The sequence below is a fragment of the Homo sapiens genome, chromosome 8 (assembly GCF_000001405.40).
Source record: "Homo sapiens chromosome 8, GRCh38.p14 Primary Assembly".
Classification (NCBI taxonomy): domain Eukaryota; kingdom Metazoa; phylum Chordata; class Mammalia; order Primates; family Hominidae; genus Homo; species Homo sapiens.
In genome coordinates, this window is record NC_000008.11 from 126,565,548 (window position 1) to 126,590,255 (window position 24,708).

The 24,708-nt window shown below is 44.4% G+C and overlaps 1 long non-coding RNA gene and 1 pseudogene across 8 annotated transcripts in view, besides 3 other annotated features; one reads left to right on the top strand and one right to left on the bottom strand.

The window, feature by feature from the left end:
* LOC105375751 (uncharacterized) overlaps positions 1 to 24,708 on the top strand; it is a 463,156-nt gene that overhangs the window by 7,672 nt on the left and 430,776 nt on the right. For all 8 annotated transcript variants that reach the window (NR_188069.1, NR_188071.1, NR_188072.1 and 5 more), the window contains exon 2: positions 23,645 to 23,743. This is a non-coding gene — a long non-coding RNA (uncharacterized LOC105375751). The remainder of the gene's footprint in view (positions 1 to 23,644; positions 23,744 to 24,708) is intronic.
* Positions 13,863 to 14,670: an enhancer, noted in NCBI's record as "NANOG-H3K27ac-H3K4me1 hESC enhancer chr8:127591655-127592462 (GRCh37/hg19 assembly coordinates)". NCBI's record gives its function as "activates a minimal SCP1, AML or CMV promoter by ChIP-STARR-seq in naive and primed H9 embryonic stem cells {active_cell/tissue: H9 hESC(naive and primed)}" and the evidence as "EXISTENCE:reporter gene assay evidence [ECO:0000049][PMID:30033119]".
* Positions 14,671 to 15,478: an enhancer, noted in NCBI's record as "NANOG-H3K27ac-H3K4me1 hESC enhancer chr8:127592463-127593270 (GRCh37/hg19 assembly coordinates)". NCBI's record gives its function as "activates a minimal SCP1, AML or CMV promoter by ChIP-STARR-seq in naive and primed H9 embryonic stem cells {active_cell/tissue: H9 hESC(naive and primed)}" and the evidence as "EXISTENCE:reporter gene assay evidence [ECO:0000049][PMID:30033119]".
* Positions 15,479 to 16,285: an enhancer, noted in NCBI's record as "H3K27ac-H3K4me1 hESC enhancer chr8:127593271-127594077 (GRCh37/hg19 assembly coordinates)". NCBI's record gives its function as "activates a minimal SCP1, AML or CMV promoter by ChIP-STARR-seq in naive H9 embryonic stem cells {active_cell/tissue: H9 hESC(naive)}" and the evidence as "EXISTENCE:reporter gene assay evidence [ECO:0000049][PMID:30033119]".
* On the bottom strand, positions 17,160 to 17,432 carry LOC124902019 (zinc finger protein 724-like; annotated as a pseudogene).

Here is a 24,708-nt window from a genome sequence, read left to right on the forward strand (position 1 = left end):
CTTTCCTTTTGCTTGGAGTACTTCCCCTCCTCACCAAGTTCCTCCCCAATATCTTCACAGAGTGCTCCTTTAAGTCTTTTTTTTTTTTTTTTTTTTTTGAGACAGGGTCTTGCTCTGTCACCCAGGCTGGAGTGCAGTGGCACAATCTCAGCTCACTGCAACCTCCACCTCCCAGGTTCAAGTGATTCTCCTGCCTCAGCCTCCTGAGTAGCTACGATTATAGGTGCCCACCTCACTAATTTGTGTATTTTTAGTAGAGACAGGGTTTCGCCACATTGGCCAGGCTGGTCTCAAACTCCTGATCTCAAGTGATCCACCCACCTCGGCCTCCCACAGTGCTGGGATTACAGGTGTGAGCCACCGCACCCAGCCATTCCTTTAAGCCTTGACTCAGATATTAGCACCTTGGTGAGTCTTCCCTGAAACCCCTATTTAAAATTCTAAGTGTTCTCACATATATGCTCCTTATCCCCTTTCCTGCTCTGTTATCTATCACTTATTCTACTCCCTTATCACCTTTTAGTATTCTGTATAATTTGCTAAATTATTTTTGTTTATTGTCTCTCCTAGTTAGACTATAAGCTGTATGAAGTCAGAGATTTTGTTCGTTCACTGGAGGCATCCTTAGCTCCTAGCACAGTGGTTGACACGTGCTAGGCTCAATAAGCTATGGTTAAATGAATAAATAAAAGGGCTTTTTATGAGCCACCTCTATTTGTGCTCACAACAGTCTTAATGGTATAGAATTATTCTTAATTTACAGATGAGAAAATTAATTCTAAATTACTAAATGCCTATGATGTGTCAGGCACTGTAGACTAGGCAGTTGAATTTCAGAGAGGTTAAGAAATTGGGCCCAGGAAACACAGCCAAGTTCACCAAGAAATAACAGCTCTGTAGCTCAACATGGCAGCCGCTGGTCACATGTGGCTATTGAGCATCTGCAATGTAACTAGTCTGAACTGAAGTATGTCATAAATGCAAAATGTATACCAACTTCCAAGACAATACAAAAAAGTAAAATACCTTACTAATTTTAAAATATTGATTACATGTTGAAATGACAAATTTTGAATTTATTTGGTTAAGTGGAATATGTTATTAAAATTAAATCACTTGGTTTTTTTTTTTTTCCACTTTTTAAAAATGTGGCCACTATAAAAATTTAGATTATGTATGTGGTTTGCATTTGGGCTTGCGTTATATTTTTAATGGGCAGCCCACTTCTAGCAATTTCCATTCCACCATGCATATCTATCTTCAAAAATATTATCTGTTTGGCTCTTGAGGGCAAGGATGCCGTGACCTTGTCTTTTCTGTAAGAATAAGATCAAAGATACATAGAATACATCAGTAACTCTCAAAGGCATTAACATGCCTATCTTAGTTTGTGCTGTGATAACATAGTGCAATAGACTGGGTGGCTTATAAATAAGAGAAATTTAGTTCTCACAATTCTGGAAACTGCAAATCTGAGATCAAGGTGCCAGCATGGTTAGATTCTAATGAGTTGCAGACTGCCATCTTCTGGTTGCATCCTGTCATGGCAGAGAGAGGGCAAGAGAGCTCTCTGGGGTCCCTTTCATAAAGGCACTTATCCCACTCCTGGGAGCTCCACCATCATGACCTACTAACCTCCCAGAGGCCTCACCTCCTAATACCAATGAGGCAGGATAGGTAGTCAATGTTCTCCAGACGCAGCAACTGTGGTGACCCTACAGTCAACACAATAAGCCTCAGCATTCACATTGTAATTGGGCACATTCTAGCAATGCTATCTTCCCGTAGGAACTTTCCCTTCTAGATAGCCTGTGCATTTTGATTTTACCTGTCCTCAAACTGACCCTTTGCTCATTATAATAGTAAAAACACCCCCTTGGGTGGAGATTTAAGATGTTAACGAGACATGCGGTATAGAAGCAAGCATGAACAACTATTGCACATGAGCACCCAGAAGACCATCCACAACATGCTTACTAGTAACACCTCTTTCCATCTCTTTATAATCGTGTAAGACTCCCATAAAGGGAGTCTCCCTAGTGCCAGTCTTTGCTGTCTCATACTTACAATCAGCCCACTCTGAATCCTCTATCTTTCAGGGTGCACTATCTATTCTGCACTTAACTTCCTTCCTTCCTTCCTTCCTTCCTTCCTTCCTTCCTTCCTTCCTTCCTTCCTTCCTTCCTTCCTTCTTTCCTTCCCTCCCTCCCTCCCTCTCTCTCTTTCTTGTTCCCTTTCTTTCTTTCTTTCTTTCTCTTTCTCTCTCTCTCTCTTTCCTTCCTTCCTTCCTTCCTTCCTTCCTTCCTTCCTTCCTTCCTTCTTTCTTTCTTTCTTTCCTTCTTTCCTTTCTTTTTTTTTTGAGACAGAGTTTCACTCTCATTGCCCAGGCTGAAGTGCAGTGGTGCAACGGCATGGTCTCGGCTCACTGCAACCTCCGCTTCCCAGGTTCAAGCAATTTTCCTGCCTCAGCCTCCCAAGTAGCTGGGATTACAGGTGCCCGCCCCCATGCCCAGCTAATTTTTGTATTTTCAGTAGAGCCAGGGTTTCACCATGTTGGCCAGGCTGGTCATGAACTCCTGACCTCAGGTGATCTGCCCTCCTCGGCCTCCCAAAGTACTGGGATTGCAGGCATGAGCCACCGTGCCCGGCCTCTGCACTTAACTTTCAAAATATTCTTTTGCAATACATTACTCTGTGCTGCACCTCCTTTGCTGTGTGTCTCTTATTTAAATTATTTTACACTAAGAAGAAAAGAACCAGCCAGGTACAGTGGCTCAGGCCTGTAATCCCAGCACTTTGGGAGGCTGGCCGGGGGAGTGGATCACCTGAGGTCTGCAACCAGCCTAGCCAACATGGTGAAACCCCGTTTCTACTAAAGATACAAAAATTAGCCAGCCATGGTGGCATGCGCCTGTAATCCCAGATACTCAGGAGGCTGAGGCAGGAGAATTGTTTGAACCCTAGTGGCAGGGTGGGGCGGGTGTGGGACAGCTGTGGAGATTTCAGTGAGCTCAGCCAAGATCGCACCCCTTCACTCTAACCTGGGCAAAAGAGCAAAACTCCATCTCAAAAAAAAAAAAAAAAAAAAAAAAAAAAAAAAAAAAAAAAAAGAAAAGAAAAGAAAGAAAAAAGAAGAAGAAGAAGAAGACAAGAACTGAGGTATCAGATCAGCTGTCCACAGCAACACATTGGAGGTTAGAATTTCAACATGTGAATTTCAAGGGGACACAAACGTTCTGTCCATAACAATATCTAAAGAATGAATGTCTCTTTCCAAAAAGCAGTCTCCAAGAGAAGCAAAAAGAGGGTGGAAGTGGCCTCCAGGGGTAATGTGTCTTCCGTGCTTTCCTTTTTCTTTTTTTTTTGAGATGGAGTCTCACTCTGTGGCCCAAGCTAGGGTGCAGTGGCGCTATCTTGGCTCACTGCAACCTCTGCCTCTGGGACTCAAGAGATTCTTGTGCCTCAGCCTCCTGAGTAGCTGGGACTACAGGCACACGCCACCATACCTAGCTAATTTTTTGTATTTTAGTAGAGACAGGGTTTCACCATGTTGCCCAGGGTGGTCTGAGCTCAGGTGATGCACCTGCCTCGGCCTCCCAAAGTGCTAGTAATCAGTAGCACTTTACTTGTGTTAATCAGTAAACTGGCAGTCTGGTTTTATGTATCTGATTCTGTGGGCTGGGTACATGTGACTGTCTACTTTCCATGAGTTGACAGCTGGGTTTTTGAGCCTGGGAGCTTGAGGATTACACCTCAGATGATAGAGAATTCACAAATTCTAATAAATAGAAGCAGCTAACATTTGTTGAATGCTTAGTGTATCCAGTACCTTTCTAAGAGCTTTATATGCATTCATTCATGTAACCCTCACCTGCGAGGTAGGCATTATGATCATTATCCTCATTTCACAGATGAGAAAACAGAGGCATAAGAAGCTTAAGCATCTTGCCCATGGCCACGCAGCTAGTGATTTGCAGAGCCAAGAGTTAGACTCAGGCAGTGCCATGGAGTGGGCGTAACCCCGGCCACCTATCTGGCCTAGACGTTGACCACGATGGCTGAGTTTCTTTGTCTTCATATTCCACATGCCTCTTTGACCCATCAGTGGATGATGAAGCCGTCACCTTGCAGCTCCACATCCATTCATGAGCCTGACTCTTCACCATCCTTCCAGCCTCATCCCTTGCCAGCCTCCCAGTTGCCCACTGAGCCACACCAGTCCTTGGCTTCCTGCCTATACCAAGCTCATGATAACCTCAGCCTGTGACATGACCATCCCCTGGACCTGGCATGCTCTTCATCTCTCTCTTCTCAAAGCTAAATATTTTGTGTTCTTTATGCTTCAAATTAAGTTCATGAAGGGGCCTTTGCTAACTAGCTGGTTGCCCCACTCAGCCGTTTTTGTCTGCTGCATAACACTGATCACAAGGGTGATTTCGTTTGCTCATTTGGTCGTCATTGCCTGTCTCGCTACGAGCCTAGGCTTTATTGTGCCAATATAACTCCCCCGTTCTCCAGTGCAGTGGCCTCCTTATGGTACATGCCTAACAATTACCTCTGGAGTAACTGGATCTCTCTTTGGAGGAGTCTGAAATTCATATTCTGGAGGAGGGGAGTTAAGAGCACCACTCCTTCAAAGAGTGATTTTTTTTTTTTTTTTTTTGAGACAAGTTCTCACTCCATCACCCAGGCTGGAGTGCAGTGGCGTGATCTGGGCTCACTGCAACCTCCACCTCCCAGGCTCAAGTGATTCTCCCACCTCAGCCTCCCAAGTAGCTGGGATTACAGGTGCCCACCATCATGCGCGGCTAATTTTTGTATTGTTTGGTAGAGATGGGGTTTCACCATGTTGGCCAGGCTGGTCTCGAACTCCTGACCTCAAGTGATCCGCCTGCCTTGGGCTCTCAAAGTGCTGGGATTACAGGCGCCTGGCCAAGAAGTGATTTTGAATTTCAAGTATGTGCTCAGGTTTGCAAAGCGAATGAGTTAACCGGAGCCAGGAGGACGCTGACAGGGTAAAGTGTGGGTTAAGGAGGAGAAACACGCACACATAAAACAAACAAAAAACTTTACAAAGTTAAACATTTGTAAGCACCTGTTAAAAAGAGCAAACTTCAAGAAAGGATGTTACTAAGGCTGGTTGCACAGGGCATTAACTGCCTGTTTGCTGAATGAAAGATCTGGCTGGATTGTATGAGTGAAAGGGGAAGTTCTTGCTTCATATGGTGAGGACTTACCTTTGCTCTAAGGTGAGAGCCCTGCCCTAGGCTCTGTGGTTGCAGCCCTGTGTGTTTCACTGTACACTGCTGCTCAGCTGACCCTGGCAACCCAGCTCTAGGAATCCTTAGTGAACACCTGCCCTGAGTACCTCTGCTCAGTTGCTCCCCTGTAGAGACTCACAGCCTGTCACTCTGACTAGAACTTAATAGGTGTTCAGCAAGCATTTTTGAAGTAATGGATTAATGAGGGCATAGAATGAAGCTTCTGTCTTAAGGGCACAAAAAGTAGTTGGAAATGCCAGACAAGGGATATTTAGGGCCTGAGCCAAAAGTATAAGTATAAAAGCTATATTTACTCAGCTTTTGCAAATCAGAGTAGCTGTCACCACTCTGCATAGCCATAAGCCAGCAAAAAGATGAAGCCTTGTTTCTGAGACAGTAGTAAGATTCATTCTGGGGCACATACTGTGTTACCTGGTTCATCCTCCATAAACCTCACAGGGCAGGTTTTGTTATTCTGCTTGTACCCATTTTATAGCTGGGGAAAGTGAAACACCAGGAGGGACTTGTCCCCATCCAGAGCCCACATATCAGCCAACCAACAGGGCATGGACCCAGGCAGGTCTGACCTCAAGCCCACTGCATATGGCGCCTTCACTGTCTGGCCACGGTTGTCCCAGGGATATCACAAACCACAACAGGAAGGAGCTTCTTGGTGAGGCAAATGCACCCACTGATCAAGTGTTTATTTTTCCTCTTCCTCCTCATCTCACTGGAGTATGCTTCACCCTGAGCAGCTAGCCCCAGGGTTTCAGATGGATTGTTTAGATTTCAGCATATCCAGACAGATTTCAGGAACAGATTGATAGAAGATGGCTCCACTGGGGAAAGGAACTAGAATTTTCTTTATAGGGATAGTCCAGTGCGAGGGTGGAGAGAGAATAATCTGGGAACCCTGACTAATTTGACAAATGGATTTATTTCCGTGGGAGGATCTGAGCCATTAAAGCATTGGGGGCATACCAACAAAGATAAATAAATCAAATTTCAGTGTTCTCTTCCGTATCCCTACACCCCTGCAGGCACGTAAACACAACGCCAACCTGGGCGTGAAGAGGTCTGTGAGTTTGGCAAGGTAAAAAATATTCCCATTCCTACCAGGCAAATTTCTTTCCCCTAGTGATTAAGAAATTTCTGCCCAAATCCTCAGGGACTAAATCAACATTTCCCAAAGCCATCCTCTGCCCTTTTCCTTCCATTATCCCCAAGCCCCAGGGCTGCCAGCCCCCTGAGTCATTATGTAAATGACTCACCAGCAAACCCTAACAGCCATTCACTAGGAATACTCCACCTGTAAGGTCTCTAGTTAACTGAATTTCTGTTAAACCGAAGGTTAAATAAAACCTGCCTTTTTGTATCCCTGGATATTGAAAATCTTTCTAAACTGTGTTAGTTCACTCACCTTTCTAAGTTTCTGGAGCAGAATGAAAATAATTACATTTTTGCTTGGTGATCGGGCATCTTGCATTGCCATGGGGCATTGCTCTGCCTATCAGGATTAAAATTTAACTCGAGTTTTAGACTTTGGTGAGAAGTTAGGCTGTAACCATTCTGAGTTGAAGAGGAAATTTGTCTAATTTTGTTGAGAGAAACACAACCCTTTGCCTTCCTAGTGCCTAGCAGAGAGTCGGGAGCTCCTTTTCGAAAATGCTGATGGAGTTGATGAATGACTAATATTATATATTTTTTTTGAGACAGAGTCTCACTCTGTCACCCAGGCTGGAATGCAGTGGCACGATCTTGGCTCACTGCAACCTCCGCCCCCTGGGTTCAAGAGATTCTCTTGCCTCAGCCTCCTGCGTAGCTGGGGTTACAGGCATGCGCCACTATGCCTGGCTAATTCTTGTATTTTTGGTAGAGATGGAGTTTCACCGTGTTGGGCAGGCTGGTCTTGAACTCCTGACCTCAGGTGATCCGCCCACCTCAGCCTCCCAAAGTGCTGGGATTACAGGCATGAGCCACCGTGCCTGGCCTGAATTTCTTTATTGCAGTGTTTCTTCCTCATGATAATTGTGTCTGCCCTTTATTGATTGCTAGTGCTTGTTCTGGGTGTTGTGCTAAGTGCTTTGCAGGCTTAAGTCATTACATTTGAGTTGCCACACAGTGAGTGGCACGGGGTCGGTGGGCTTTACCTTCATTCTGCGGAGGAGAAAATGGAACCTGCAAAAGGCTGAATGACTTGGCCAAGAGATTCTGAAGCTAGAAAGTGACAAATCAAAATTCACATAGCTTGAGGGGTTTGGGCAATGGCAATCTTCATCCGATGGGGCTGGATATACAGGGGCACTGCTAAAATCATGAGGAAATGCAACCTATAGGAAATGGGAATTGAGTGGGACACACACATGCATGTGTGTGTGTGCATCTTGATAGCCCTAGACTTCCCTTCAGTTAGGGAGCAAGTATGGTGTAGTGGTTTTAGAGAAGTGATTTCCAAATTATCTGTGGGAAAGAGTAGGGGCTGTTCATTTTATTTGTTTGATTTATTAATAATGTCCAATATTTTGTAAACCGATATATTTGTAAAATACCATAGACATAAATTACTAAAGGAATGAAGTAAAAAATAATAATAAAATGACATTCACGCTTGCTATGAGCTGACTGTGATCCGCCCACTTCAGCTTCCCAAAGTACTGGGATTACAGGCATGAGCCACCAAATTTTGTATGCTGCACCAAAATTTGTATGTTGAAACCTGATCTCCAATGTGACAGTGTTAGGAAGCAGGGCCTAGGGTGGGTGGGGTAGTCAGATCATGAGGGTGGAGTCTTTATGAGGGGGATTAGTGCCCTTACAAAAGAGACTTCAGTGAGATTGCTCCCTTGCACCATCCACCATATAAAGACAGGGTGAGAGGCCACCATCTATGAATCAGGAAGTGGGTGCTCACCAGACAGTGAATCTGCTGGCATCTTGATCTTGGACTTCCCAGCCCCTAGAACTGTAAGAAATAAATTTCTGGGTTTTTCTTTTTTTATTTTTTTGAGAGGAAGTCTTGTACCCAGGCTACAGTGCAGTGGCGGGATTTCAGCTTGCTGCAACTTGGCCTCCCAGGTTCAAGCAATTCTCGTGCCTCTTAACCTCGAGTGATCTGCCCACCTCGGCCTCCCAAAGTGCTGGGATTACAGGCATGAGCCACCAAATTTTTGTTTTTTATGAGCCATCCAGTTTATGTTTTGTTAGAGCAACTGGAATGGACTAAGACAAAGCCTCAGTTGTTTGTTGTAACTGTTTTCTAGATTTAACAGGCACAAGGGAAGCAAATGGGGAGCCGGTCAGCAGTGCAAGGGACTTCCAGAGGCCTAGGGACTAGGATTCTTTTTTTTTTTTTTTTGAGACGGAGTTTCACTCTTGTTGCCCAGGCTAGAATGCAATGGCGCCATCTCAGCTTACCGCAACCTCCACCTCCCAGGTTCAAGCAGTTCAAGCAATTCTCCTGCCTCAGCCTCCTGAGTAGCTGGGATTACAGGCATGTGCCACTATGCCCGGCTAATTTTGTATTTTTAGTAGAGAAGGGGTTTCTCCATGTTAGTCAGTCTGGTCTTGAACTCCCGACCTCAGGTGATCCCCCACCTCGGCCTCCCAAAGTGCTGGGATTACAGGCGTGAGCCACCATGCCCCACCCCATCTAGGATTCTTGAATGGCCAGGCCAGCGGGATAGAGAACACATTGATCCCCAAAGATGGGTGTGGCCAATTTGTGTTCACAGTAAGGCAGACATGTGCGTGTATGACTTGCACGCATGCACAGAGATGCAGAGACCATAATCAAGGGAGCATTTGTGTATAGCCAGAGGCACAGGACAAGATCCTTTTATTTTGCAGATAATGTCATTAGAACGCTCAGGTTTCCCCACTGTAGGACTTTGCAGATTATTAAGGTCTCTTTTTAGTCAGCCTCCCTCTGTCCCGTTGCTTTCCATATTCTTGGTGCAGATAGCATAGGTAATAATATATTAATTACATTTTGTGGAAAACAGTGAGAGAAATATATCCTGTATACTATATATATTTGTATATATATTTATGCTTTTTTCCTCTTGATTTTTCTGCATACTCTATGGTCTATTTCTAGAAGTTTATCCAAAAAGCTGATAAGCATGGTTGCCTCTGGGTAGGGATTTAAGTTTCAGAGGTAGGAAAGAGAATAACTTTGCATAACATCCTCTTGTATAGTATTTGAATCTTTTAATCATAGGTATGGATTCCTTATTCAAAATGATAAACTAAAAAAATAGCAAACCATGTCAAGTGTCTGTCTTATAGTTGGATGTTTCTGAATTGCGTCCTTTCCACGAACAATTGTTTCTGAATGTGATTAACTCTGAATGTATTTATGATATGGTTAAAGGCTGTTTTCTCACTTAATGGAAAGAAGTGGACTGACAGAAGACCTTTGGAGGTAAAGAGGATAGAGGTGCTCAAGAGGTGGGCAGTTCCTCTAATACAAGCCAAAAAAGGGCCATACCAACTACTGGGGAGTGATGACTGCCAATAATTTCAGCAAATCAGCTGTGAAGCTATGAAGAGCTGTGCTCTTCATGTTGACACTTGGCTGAAGTTGCAGTATCTAAGAGTATTGAGAGATTTGAATTGGACTTAGGAAACCGATTTTTTATTTATTATTATTATTTATTTATTTTTGAGACAGTGTTGCTCTTGTCACCCAGGCTGGAGTGCAATGGCACGATCTGGACTCACTGCAACATCTGCCTCCTGGGTTCAAGCGATTCTCCTGCCTCAGCCTCCCAAGTAGCTGGGATTACAGGTGCACGCCACCACCCCCAGCTAATTGTTGGTATTTTTAGTAGACATGGGGTTTACCATGTTGGCCAGGCTGGTCTCAAACTCCTGACTTCAGGTGATCCACCGGCCTCGGCCTCCCAAATTGCTGATATTACAGGCCTGAGCTACTGCACCCGGCCTGATTTTTTATTTTTGGAAATGAAATGGCTGTATACTTTAGGATGTTTGTTGCTGGGATGACCTGTGGCCACAGAGCTACTAAGCTGACTTTATGTAGAGAACCAGCTGACTTTCTTTACTACCCGCACTGGGACAGGCATGGATGGCATGTTGCCAGTCTCATCTCATTTAATCCTTAAAAAATCTTATCAAGCAATATCCCTTTTTACCCATGAAGAAATTAAAACCTCAAGGTGTTAGAGGTTGATCAACTGGCCCAAGATTGCACAGCTAATAAGGCAGAGTCACCGTATAACATCAGGTTCTCTTTGGCTCCAAATGCTCAGCCCTACCCATGATCCAGCACTGCCTTAGAAGAGTAAGAACTAGGGCTTAACTGTCCATCAAAAATTGGCAAATAATTTTCTTAAGATAGTGGCTCTCAAACAGTGGCTGCATCAGAATCACCTGCAGGGCTTATAAAACACACATTGCTAACGCCGCTTGTAGAGTTTCTGATTTAACAGATTTGGAGTGGGGCCTGAGAATTTGCATTTCTAACAAGTTCTCAGGTGATGCCCTTGCTTCTAGTCAGGGGACTACACTTTGAGAACCACTATGTGTTAGTCAATTTTCACCCTGCTCTAAAGAACTGCCCAAGACTGGATGATTTATAAAGGAAAGTGGTTTAATTGACTTACAGTTCCCCATGGCTAGGGAGGCCTCAGGAAGCTTATAATCATGGTGGAAGGCAAAGGGGAAGCAGGCACCTTCTTCACAAGACAGAATGAGAGATACAGAGAGCAGAGAAAACTGCCACTTACAAAATCATCAGATCTTGTGAGAACTTCCTCGCTATCCTGGGAACAGCCTGGGGGAAACCATCCCCATGATCCAGTCACCAACCACCAGGTCCCTCCCTTGACACATAGGGATTACAATTCGAGGTGAGATTTGGGTAGGGACACAGAGCCAAACCGTATCACACTATCCTAAAGAGATTAGAGTGGGGGCTCACAAAGCATGTTTGGTAATTTCAGGGCCAAATGTGATAGGAACACAGCAGTTTAATGCTGTTTATGGTGTTTGTCATTATTTCTCTCATGCTCTTGCTTGAGTTTTATTTTATTTTCATTTTTATTTTTTTGGAGATGGAGACTTGCTCAGTCACCCAGACTGGAGTGCAGTGGTGCAATTATGGCTCACTGCAACCTCTGCCTCCTAGGTTCAAGCAGTCCTCCTGCCTCAGCCTCCCAAATACCTGGGACTACAGACAAGCACTACCACGCTTGGCTAGTTTTTGTATTTTTAGTAGACACGGGGTTTCACCACGTAGGCCAGGCTGGTCTTGAACTCCTGACCTTGTGATTTGCCTGCCTCAGCCTCCCAAAGTGCTGGTATTACAGGTATGAGCCACCTTGCCTGGCCTTGCTTGAGTTTTAATAACTTTTAAAAAGTATCCATGTATCTCACTGATTTTAAAGTGAAAGAGGGAAATAAGTTTATGTCTGTGCATGGGCTGGAAAGAATGGGGGATTGGTGTACTTTACAGTATGGCATGCAGCGGTGATCACAGAATTCTCCAATGGGAAGACCAAATCATTAATCACAAGTCTTCTAGTCACAGGGACAGAAATCTATCTCAAGTCATTTCTTTTCAGATTGTATTTGGCTGTATGCAACAGGCTCCCTCTGACCCCGCCCAACACACATATACACACACACACACTTTTTTTTATAAGACAGGGTCTGGAGTGCAGTGGTGCGATCTCAGCTCACTGCAACCTCTGCCTCCTGGGCTCAAGCGATCCTCCCCTCAGCTTCCAGAGTAGCTGGGACTACAGGCATGTGTCACCATGCCCAGCTAATTTTTTGTATTTTTTTTGGAGAGACAGGGTTTCACCATGTTGTCCAGGCTGGTCTCGAACTCCTGGGCTCAAGCAATTCTCCAGCCTTGGTCTCCCAAAGTGCTGGTATTACAGGCGTAAGCCAATGTGCCCAGCCAGAAACCCACATTAAAGAGGTGTCTTGGAACCAAGTTTCTGTAGTTCTTGTACATTTCTGGAGTAAGATGGTCACTGTATTATTTTGTTGAGCTGTATTGCTTTTGCAGCTCAACAATATCAGGTCTGGCATCTCTGTAATTCTTTAAAAACTTTCTCTTTTACTCCCATTCTGAAAACAGCTGCTGTGGCTCCAGTCATCACATCTGTGTTCTAGTAAAGAAGGCAGAAAGTGAAAAGAGTGTGCTCCATTTTATCAATTGTTCATAACCTCTTTGTAGCTTTAACTGTGTCATATAACCATATCTAGCAGCAAGGAAAACGGACAGGGTAAGTATTTGCTTGTGTAAATTGCCTCCCTATACCAAATTAGGATTTTTGTTGTCAAGAGAGAAATGATTGGATATGAGGAATGCCCTTATGATCTTGCTTCAGCAGCATGGGCAAATGCCTTCACAAAAAAGACAAGAATGGATGGCTTTAAGAAAGTGATTTGAGTTAGCTTTTCCTGCATAACAAGCCATTCCAAATGTGGTGACTTTTTACACTTCCAAGTTTAAACAAACATCAATTTGTTTATGAAAGTGTGGATTGGCAGCTTGGACTGGACTCATCTGGGAGACTTATTTCTGCTCCCTTCAGGGTCAACTGGGCTTTGTGTTATATCTGTGACTTCAGCCAGATGGTGGGGATAGGTGGAGTGGTTAGAATATCTGGGCCTTTCTTTCTACATGGTTTCTTCTCCTATAGTCACCTTCTTCACATGATGGCAGAAAGGTCTCCTATTATTGAGTGACGAATGACTCCAAAACTTGATGGATAAGCTGCCACCATTTTATTTGCTCATAACTCTGTGGGTCATTTCGGTGAAGCTCAGTTTGATGGTTCTTCTTCTGGGCTCTCCTGGTGTCTTCCATGTGGCTTAACTGAGGCTGAATGGTCTATGATGCTCTTACTGGCCATGGTCCATTGACGTCTGGCACTTGGTGCTGGGTATTGGCTGGGTCACCTGTTCCAGCAGGCTAGCCCGGGCTTCTTCATGTGGTGAAGAGGTTCGAACAGCAGCAAGAGAAAAGGTAAGTTTCAATGCCTAAGTGCTTTTCAAGCCTCTACTTGCATCATATTTGCTGATGTCCCACTGGCCCAAGCAAGCCACATGGCCAAGCCCAGAATCGACGTGGGAGGGGACTATGCAAGGGGGCATTTACAAGGAGACCTACTTTCTTGGGGACCATTATTCTACCAAACCACCACATAAGCCTCAAACCAATGACTTGAATGTCTACAGGGATCTCCTTGTCATTGCTTTTCTCTGCAAGTCCTCTTCATTCCTTTAGATACACCCCTTTCCCCAGGGTAGGAACCACAGCTGCCCTTTGCTCTAGAAATCACTTTCTCAGCTTCCGACTCAGGTGCTGGGAAGCACACTGACTAGCCTGACACGTTCTGACGCCTGTCCTGAGGCTAAGTAATCGGGATACTATTATCACCAATTTCCACTGTAACTACACGTTTGGATGGGGTTGTAGAAGGAGCAGTTTTGGAGCCACCATCCTAAAAATGAGGTGGTGCCCTGGAATAACAAAGACATACTGGCCAGACAAGACCGACAGATGGAGTTAGGGACCATTTGAACAGGAAACGTTACAGACTGTATTTCTGGAGGTTTTTGTTTTGTTAGTTGGTTGAAAGGATCTGGTTTTAAAAAGAATTGAAGCTAGTTTAAATTCAGTTTCTATCATTTTCCAAAACGTTACCTTATTAAACAAAGCTACACATTTGAGTTATTTATTTATTTATTTTGGAAAAAGATGCAGACTAGCATCTGATGCTGGCCCCAACGGGAAACCTAGCTGGGTGTTCTTTGTGGCCAAATATACAATAGTGATTGTGTTCTTGTCTCATTCTCCCTTTCCTGAAACTGTGCTGGGAAGACAGAAAGGAAAAAGGCATTAATTGGCATTAATTGGCACATCCATCAAGGCCTGAACTGGCACATCAGTCACATCAGGGAGGGTTTATTTCTTCCTCCAAAGCTGTTAGAAGTTTAAGAGCATGCGAAGGATGTTCCACCTTGTGCTCTGTGGATATGTGGGATTTGTGGCAAGCAGAAATGTCTGGGATGGCCTCGGCCACAGGGCCTCTGATAGAGGCCTTTCTGCTGCATCTCATTGAGGTTCCCCATCAATCACGGGCAGTGTCAGGGCCCACCCTTGCCTTAATTTAACTGGGATGAAGGAAAGTAAAGAGAGAGTGCCTGAGAGTGAAGGAATGCTGGCCTTGGGGTATGCGATCCAATTCCATAAATAGCAGAGATTCCTGAAAGGCTTTGAGGCAAGCTCTGAGAGGTAGCCATGGCGATGAGGTACCTCTTGGCTCCCTGCTGCCAGAGAGAGGCTGCTTGCTGTCTCTTCCCAGGGGCCTGTGCTGGCATGCCTGGGCTTATTTCAGAAACTCTCCTAGACACAGCGACTGCTCAGAAGCATACCCTTAATTGGTGGAGCTGGCTCTTCTCTGACTTGGTGCCCTGCAGCATTTCACTGGCACCCTTCTGCCCAGCAAACACTTGCCAGTAATTGTGGGGCCGCCACTGTTAGTGAACAGGCTGTGGTTTGCCTTCAAGGGGTTAGTGAGTTCTTCTTGGGTTCTTTGGTGACAATTAGGGTGTGTTTATCAGCAGGATGCCTGAGGGGTCTTCTGTGACTTTGGAAGATTAAGGCAATCTGACTTCACCTATTCCCAATTCAGAATTCTGGCTTCCTCCTCCCTGCACAACTGGGGCTTGCATCCCCACTGGTCCTCAGTGGTATCTTGGGGACCTGGGAAGAGGAAAGTGGGATCTGAGATGTGTCTGTGGGTGCAAAAGTGGGTGGATTAGGACAGCACTCCTACTTCAACTGGCATCCCTGTGTTTTTTTTTTTTTTTCTGAGACGGAGTCTTGCTTTGTCACCCAGGCTGGAGTGCAGTGGCACTACCTTGGCTCACTGCAACCTCTGCCTCCAGGTTCAAGTGATTCTTGTGCCTCAGCCCCCCAAGTAGCTGGGACTATAGGCATGCACTACCACATCCAGCTAATTTTTGTATTTTCAGTAAAGATGGGGTTTTGCCATGTTGGCCTTTGCTAGTCTTGAACTTCCAGCCTCAGGTGATCCCCCCGCCTCGGCTTCCCAATATGCTGGGATTACAGGCATGAGCCACCACGCCCAGCCTGGCATCCCTCTGAGAGACAGGACTAGCTGGATTTCCTAGGCCCTAAGCCTAGCTGGGCAGGTGACTGCATCCATCTTTATACACGGGGCTTGCAACTTAGCTCACACCTGACCAATCAGGTAGTAAAGAGACCTCACTAAAATGCTAATTAGGCAAAAATGGGAGGTAAAGAAATAGCCAATCATCTATTGCCTGAGAGCATAGCAGGCGGAACAATGATCAGGATATAAACCCAGGCATTCGAGCCAGCAGCGGCTACCCTCTTTGGGTCCCCTCCCTTTGTATGGGAGCTCTGTCTTCACTCAATTAAATCTTGCAACTGCACACTCTTCTGGTCCCGGTTTGTTATGGCTTGAGCTGAGCTTTTGCTCTCTGTCCACCACTGCTGTTTGCCACCGTCACAGACCCGCTGCTGACTTCCACCCCTCCGGATCTGGCAGGGTGTCCACTGTGTTTCTGATCCAGCGAGGTGCCCATTGCCACTCCCGTTTGGGCTAAAGGCTAGCCATTGTTCCTGCATGGCTAAGTGCCCGGGTTTGTCCTAATTGAGCTGAACACTAGTCACTGGATTCCACGGTTCTCTTCCGTGACCCATGGCTTCTAATAAAGCTATAACACTCACCACATGGCCCAAGGTTCCATTCCTTGGAATCCATGAGGCCAAGAACCCCAGGTCAGAGAACAAGAGACTTGCTGCCATCTTGGGAGCAGCCGCCACCATCTTGGGAGCTCTGGGAGCAAGGATGGGTTCAAGTGATTCTTGTGCCTCAGCCTCCCAAGTAACTGGGACTACAGGCATGCGCTACCACATCCAGCTAATTTTTGTATTTTTAGTAAAGACAGGTTTTGCCATGCTGGCCTTGCTAGTGTTGAACTTCTGGCCTCAGGTGATCCACCCGCCTCGGCCTCCCAAAGTGCTGGGATTACAGGCGTAAGCCACCATGCCCAGCCCGGCATCCTTGAACCTGGGAGGCAGAGGTTGCAGTGAGCTGAGATTTTTGGCCACTACCCTCCAGTCTGGGTGACAGGGTGAGACTCCATCTCAAAAACAAAACAAAACAAACAAACAAAACAAAAAAACCCAGAAAAACACAAGAGTTTATAGTTTACATTAGTATTTGCTCTTGATGTACATTCTCTGAGTTTTGACAAACACATAAAGCTATGTATCCATCATCACAGTATCATACAGAATAGTTTTACTGCCTTAAAAATGTCCTATGCTTGGCCTATTTACCCCTTCCTCCTTCTCTATCAGCTCCTGGCAACCACTGATTTCTTTCCGTCTCCATAGTTTTGCCTTTTATTTATTTATTTTTTTAACTTTATAATTTCAAACTATATTTAAAGACTATGGTAATGCAAACAGGATGGAATGTGCAAAAAATATACAAAAAAACCAATGGAACAGAAACCACTACTGACACATTTCAGACATGATGCAAAAAGAGAATGTAAAAAATAGTTCAACCTAGAGTTTCTCAAAAGTATGCAGATATTTGTGTGTTTCCCAAAACAACGGAAAAGCAGTCAGATTGTGCAGTCTCTTATCTACCATGAGGAGGATTTTTGGCTCTCACCGTAAACTTGAAAGAAGATCACCAAAGGGAAAGTAGAATTCTTAGAGAATTTAAAAGCATAAGACAGAAGATGCCCTATGAGAAAGCAAAATAAAAAAACTCAGGCTTCCCGGACATTATTTTCTTTGGAACACAGCTTCCCAAATCACATTTTAAGGACTGGCTTTCTCCTTGACCTTTGGACTTCTCATCTGTGTTGTCTGTTGTATTCACTTTTGCTCCCACCCGGTGGGGCTTTGGCTACCATCTCATGTCCCTTCATATTCCAGGGCTCTTTTTTTTTTGGCTCCAGTCAAGTGATCAGGTCTGGCTTAGAGACAGCAATACCCAGGAAGACCAGGTTTCTGTAGTCCATTAACGTCGCATTTCCGTATAAATTCCGCTGTGCAGTGTCCAGGTATTGCCACTCCTCCAGAGAAAATTCTATGTCCATAAATGTCGATGGTTCCATTTCTAGGCTTCCAGGGGGTCCTGGCATCTTAGCTGTGGATCTCCCAATACCTGCTGGTAATGGAGCCACAATGGAGCCACAGAGGCTGGGCCTCTAGGAGCAATCAGTTTTGCCTTTTCTGCAGTATTATATAATTGCAATTACTTAGCATGTAGACTTTTCACACTGGCTTCTTTCACTTAGCAATTTAAGGCTCCTTCATGTCTTTCTGGCTTGCTAGCTCATTTAAAAAAATCATTAATATCCTAGTGTATGGATATACCATCATTTTTTGGATGTAGATTATTAAAAGAGGTTTTCTACAAAAAGTACATTTAAAAATTGTCAGTTTAGTGTTTATGGTTTTCTTTTATGAGGTGGCCAGGATGTGGGATAGGTCAACCTTTATGTCTAGTGCCCATGGAAACAATGTGGGGGTGGAATGAGAATGATTGCTTCATGGGAAAAAAAACAGAACAACAATACACACACACACACACACACACACACACACAAACCCCATCCACTTAAAATGGCTGGTATTAGGGGAAGAACAATGGACCAAGAATGAGGATGTGACTCAGTGTGATTTAGCAGAGACTGAAAATTTGTTCATTCATTCATCACTAATTTATTCATTCAACACTGATTTACAGAACACCTGACTCTATGACGTCATACTTGGCCCTAGGAATGGAATAATGAACACAGCAGATAAATGGAACTGATAAATGGAACTTTCGAGAGAGTCAGGCATTCGCCAAAGAGTCACACTAATGAATATGTAATTACAATTGGAGTAAAGTGCTCGGAAGGAAGGAAAACTTGGCCTCTCTTGGAGGGTCAAGGAAAGTTCCTAGAGGAAAGAGCACTTGAGCTGAAATCTTAAGGTTGATCAAAAGTTGACTTCGGGGATGGAAGAAGTTGCTGGACCTGTGATTGGTTCAACCAGCATCTTGCTTAACAGCCCCTTCTCCATTGTCTTCTGCATGGGGCAACTCTATTGTGGAATGCAGCTCTTCTTAGAATAACTGAAGCATACGGTGGTTATTATCCTCTAATACCAACCCAAATTGCTGCCAAAGTATCTCCAAGCAATACAGGAAGACAAAAGGGCAATAGTTAATGAAGCTCTATTTATTTATTTATTTATTTATTTTGCTACATCCTCTGTTTCCAATTTCCTCCAACACATATTTTGAGCAGTTATGATGTTTCAAATATGGGGTTTTTTTAAATTAAATGAAATATGTAGTCTGTCTTTGAGTCAACATATAATTGCATAATGCACTCTCTTGATGGCAGCTCTCCCAGGGTCCTCTGGGGACATCCATGTGTCTGTTCATCCCGCAATATATATTGACTGCTGTGTGCTGGGCCAGGGACGTGGGGATGAAAGAGACACATGATCCACCTACAAGTACCTTACTTTCTAGTGCAGGGGACAACCTGTAAACGTAATTCAGTGCAGTGAGCTCTAAGAAAGAGACAAGAGGTAATAGAACTGTTTGGAAGAAGGCACTGTGGAAAGGCCTTGCCTAAAATCTGTTTTGCTTTAAGCAGAGGAAGTAGACCTCTTCCTATTTTACAGGAAAATCATTTATGGAAATGTATGTAACTATTTTAGCTAAAATATTCTCTTTCAATTAATCTGAAGCCTGAGATGATAAATTTCTCACTGTGGAAGAAGCTTCAGTGTCCCAGCATTAAATAAAGATCATTCAGCTTCCCAAAGTGGAAGTCAAAAGCCAATATGCAGAGGTCAGTCTAGCTCAGATGCAAGCCACATTGTTATTTATTTCTTGCTGTGGATTCTCTTGGTGTCTTGTGAAAAAAAATAGATATTTGGGGAACTTAAGTATCCCGGATTTTTCTTTTGAACTAAAGTCAACCACTGTCTGCCCTTGCTATGTTTGGTTGTTTTAAGTAAGGCTCTGTCTCAATGGCATCACCTCTAGACTCAGCCAGGGCAATTAGAGAAATGCCTCTGGGGCCTTGGAATGCATTTCCAAACAGGATTTGAATGTGGGTGAGATCTGACAGCTCCTCACAGCCTCTTGGTACCAGCAGATGTTCTGTCCCAACAATACAGGCTGACTCCAGGATGACAGGGCAGCAGGTTCAATGAAAATGCCCGTCTTCCCTCCTCTCCTTCCATCTGCCTTATAAAGAGGTTGACAGGTGGGCATTGACAGTGGCAGCAAACCACCCACACCGTTTAGTTCTGCCCACTGCACTTTTCCACGAGGAGTCCCTCAAGGATGCAGCTCCCAGGCCTCCCAGCTTGTCTGCCTTGTCCAGAACTGTTTTTTGCTGCTCAGTGTAGCAGCTAAGAACTTGAGCTCTGGATTTTGACAAATCTGGCTTTGAAATCCAGCTTTGCTGCTAACTAGCTGTGGGGCCTTACACAAGTTGCTTTATTTCCCTGAATTGCCTATAAAATGGGTATAATAATAGTACCTATATATCAGGATCCCAATAGGAAATAGGAACAAATTATAAATGTGTAGAAGTGGTTGAGAAAACCACGAAAGACAGTGAGATACCCAGGGTTAGAGCAGCAGATCTGTTGGCTTTCTCTAAGCCAATATCTAAGAGGGGAGATGGAAATTACAGGAACCCAGAGAGGACAAGAGGTACTTAGAAAAGCCCTCTTTGAGAAAAGCCATGGCTTTTATCAGAAATGACCTTACAGAGGGGAAATCTGACCTTATTTTACTTTCTTTCTCCAAAATCCTGCTCTCCTGAAGCTCCCTGCTGGTCAAACCCAACACAAAGCCAGAGGGCATGGGAGCAGGTGATACAGTCTGTACAGAGCAGCCTCCCAGGGTAGAGTGAGACAAATAGAAAAGGGTGGAAATGGCTGTGGAGGGCAAGTGGAAGACATCCAGCACAAACCAACTCACAGCCTTGCTGAGCTGATTAAATAATGTAATGACATTAAGGGCTTAGCACATTTCCTGTCACCAAGTATTTAATGAAAGTTAGCTATGACTTAGCATTGCTGTTTGCTGGATCTAAGTGAGTTGTCAATGCTTTAGGGTTAAGGACATGAAGCAGGACTTAACTGGAACAACAGAGGGCCGTACATGTGGCCCCCACACAAGCCCAGGTAATGACAAGTCTGTGCTTCTTTTGGTATCAAAATAAAATTAGGTTTGCGGCCGGGTGTGGTGGCTCATGCCTGTAATCTCTGCCACTTTGGGAGGCTGAGGTGGGTGGATCGTTTGAACTCAGGAGTTTGAGACCACCTGGGCAACAAGGCAAAACCCTGTCTCTACGAACAAAAAAAAAAAACACCACAAAAATTAGAAAAATTAGCTGGGTGTGGTGGCGCGCACGTGAAGTCCCAGCTACTCGGGGGCTGAGGTGGGAGGAACACCCGAGCCTTGGGAGGTCGAGGCTGCAGTGAGCTGTGATTGGGCCACTGCACTCCAGCCTGGGCAACAGAGTGAGACCCTGTCTCAAAAAATAAAGAAAGAAAATTAAGTTTATTTCTCCTCCCTTGAGAAATGCTCAAATATTTATTTCTTCCACTCTTTTCCACGTCTTTCACCTGTACCATCTTTTCTTGTCTTTCCTGTTAGCATGTGAACATGCTGTTATGAAGAAAATGTCCTTTAAGCTACTATTCACCAATGTAAGCATTCTCAAAAGAGTAAGCGTTCTTTGGATTATAGGAGGGACAGGAAATGGGGCCTCAAAGTGCCAAGATGCAGGTGTGTGTGGGATGTAGACATGAGTTGTTAGCACCATGGGGGCTGATATTTTAGAAACAGGTCCACTCCTGACCTTGGTATTAACAGACTTTCCACATGGTTATCTTTCTGCCCTTTACTTTCTGTGTGACCATGAACAAGTCCTATTACCTGGATTTCTGTAAATTGTCAGCCTTACTTCACAAAATATTCCACTGATTAAAAATGACACAAGACATGTGGGTCTTTTTGCATGAAGAAGGTAGCTTGCCTTCCTACTGCCTGTATCTATTTTCTGGGCTGGGAGGCTGTCTGGACTGCCATGGGGAAAAAAAAGAGGGTCAGGAGAGCAGAAAGAATGGGAGGAAGAGAGATGCTTCAGATAGATAAACCCATGGGCCTCAAGGCGAGCGACACAGAAGAAAATGGCTGGAGAAGAGAGGGCAGGGAACATATTGAGTTGAAATCTTTCAGTGGCAGGCAGCTACGGCAAAGCAGAGAAGCACAGCCTTTGGTCCCATTAGTCCAGATGGGGTTACCACCCAGTCCCGCCTCTTATTGGTATGAACTTGGATAAGCTGCGTCATCTCTTTGATCTTCAGTTTCCCTGTTTGTTATGATGAGATAAGAAAAAGAAAATTACTTATGCAAAAGGCTAGTGGATGCTCAATAAATGGCTCTTCCTCTTGAAATCCCTTTTATTTTATTTTACTTTATTTTAAAAGCATCCATTAATGCACCCATAATAGGGAGCCAGAGATAGTTCACAGGATTCTCTGATTTATTAAATCAACACCAACAGAAAATAGAAATCGTTCCCAATTCTTCTACACTCAAGTGCCATGGCAAAGCACATCTCTGAAAATGTCCTTTAGGTTCCCTGCTCCGTGCATGGCTCCTGCTGATCCTCTCTCTGAAAAGCTGCCTTCCCACCTGTCTGTCTGTTGCCATCAAATCCTCCCTCTCATTTCTCCTTTGTCTATCATTCTGTAGAGCTGTGTTCATATCTGCCCACAGGCTCCCAGTTAGGCTGAGCCCTCTCTGCAGGTAGCATCTGAGCAGACACATGTATAGAGCTTCTGGGTGCCAGACACTGTGTCACTATGCTTTCTATACCTGCCATCTCATTGAATCCTCACATCTGTACTGTTACCTCCACTTTAAGGATACAGAAACTGAGGCATCCAAAGTTTTAGCTTTTAGCCTGGGCAACATGGTGAAACCCCATCTTTATAAAAATAGAAAAACTGTCTGGGCATGGTGGTGCACGCCTGTAGTCCCAGCTACTTGTGAGGCTGAGGTTGGAGAATCACTTGAGCCTGGGAGGCGGAGGTTGCAGTGAGCCGAGATTGCACCACTGCACTCCAGGCTGGGCAACAGAGTGAGACCTTTTTTCAAAAAGAAGAAGAAAAAAGTTTTAGCTTTTTACCTAAGGTCTCAAAGGTGCAGGTAGCATAGCCAGGCTTTGAACCTGGTCTGCCTCAAGAGTCTGTGTTTCTTTTCCCTCCACACTAGTTATGTTGGTGCAATACCTGCCTCATAGTGTGTCTTCAAGAAGTGCTTATTGGATTAGCTGAAATAAACATGCAAAGCTATACTTAGAAACTTTTAGCTTTATGAACTATATATTCTTATTTGAAGAAAATGGCATTTTAACAAATTTGAAGAGGTATAAGAGAAAGCCAGGCTTAACACTTAGTCATCTTGCTGTTATATATAAGACAGTTTATATAGGATCCTTTTTACATGTGGAAAATTACTTCACCACAGATAGAACATACAATCACATGCACACCACACTACACACATGCTGATGTTCCTTTTCCTAGGTAGAGATAAACTGGGATCTGTTGGGGAGTAAGATGCCAGCACATCTCTCTGCGCTGATGTAAGGAAATTCCAATAACTCACATTTAGAATGTTGCGTTGGGTGGGAAGCGGCTGAGGGTTGCACAGAGGAGTGAGATAAATGTTACCAGCAACGGACTTGACTGCAGTTTAACCCAAGGTCACTGGGAGGCCAGAGCAGAATCAGGGAAGGAATGTTGGCCCCTCGAGCCAGCTAAGCCTCGGGCAAGCTCCTATCTTTCGGCCTTCCCATGCAGTGGAGCTGTGAGCTGTGACCGTCCTTAGCAACCCTGCCCTGTTCCTCCTCAACAGGAAGGGAACGATCTTGCTGCCAGGCAGGCAAGCAACCCTGGAGTGACCCTCGTTCCTCCTTGTCCACACAACCCACCTCCCCAGTCATACAAAAGAGGCTTTCAGAACCTGGTTACCTAGAGTTGAACTTTTCAACAAGGCTTTTTTTTTTTCCCCTTTAAGCTCCACAGCTAAAATACCAGAGCTCACGGTTGCTAAGATTAAGGATTTTCTCCTCTCTTTTCTCCCTCAGCTCAGTTTCCGTTGACTAGGAAAGACCAAGAGATGGATTACTGTTCCCTTGCCAAATGGAGAGGGGTGCTTGAGCGTCCGGGGGCTTTCAGTGGGATTAGACATTATTCAGGCCTGTGCTAATAGTCATTATTTACTCCTCAGGCTCTCACAAAAGTCACCGCGTTTGTGTAGGTAACTAAGGCCTACCGAAACCAGTCAGCCCTAAGTGCACACAGGAGAACCATGGAGTTGGAGGAAAAGGTAATTTAACATGAATATTTATATACTCTACAAACCACGTGCCATGATTCACTCAGCTTATTTTCATTTTATGCATTTTCTTCCCATTTGCAGTCTTTATTTATTGCAAAGTTAAGGCTGTTAGCAAAATAACACATTGGGGTAGGTTTTCTTCTTCTTTTCTTTCTTTGTTTCTTTTCTTTTTTTTTTTTTAATTTCCTGCTTTCTAATGTATCTCTGGGAAAGTGAGCTAATATAGCAGCAAAATTGGGCAGCACTGCTAATCCCCGAGAGCTTGGCAGTGTTGTACTGGGCCCAGTATTCTTGCGAGGCCTTTACTACAGATCACAGTGACTGTGTAAGCCCTGTGGCCACGGAACCGTGGCAGCTCACATTAGTCACCATTTAGTAACATGGGTGATTTAGGAATAACTCGTGTCTCTAATTTTCAAGGTAGGAATGTAAGCACCAACTTTTCTAGAGGGTTCACCGGGTGCCCATGGTCTGGAGCTAGAGACTTGGGTTCATGGCCCAGCGTTGCTACTTGCTAGTTCTATGATGTTGGGCAAATAACTTCAAAATTCGGAGCGTTGCTACCTGCTAGCTCTGTGATGTTGAGCAAATAACTTCAAAATTCAGAGCCTCCGTGTCCTCTTATATAATATAACGTATGCATATTAATGGAATTTTCTTCATAAAGGTAGGTGCATGTTAAAATGGATAGCATTGTATAAGTACTTAGCTTGACACATGACAAGCTTGAAATTTAAGTGTCAGCTCGAGTTAGACCCATGTAGTCTTAACAGTAGCTCTGGAGGCTGATGAGGAACTGCCTGCCCTAAAGAGGTTAGCTCCTTTCCTAATGCACATGCTTAGTACGTTTCAGAACTAGCTCTCCAATGCAGTTTTGGTTTATTCCAAAGTGTATGGTCTATTCATGATGAAATACACCTCAGTATCTCTTGCTATTTTTTGCTAGACGTATT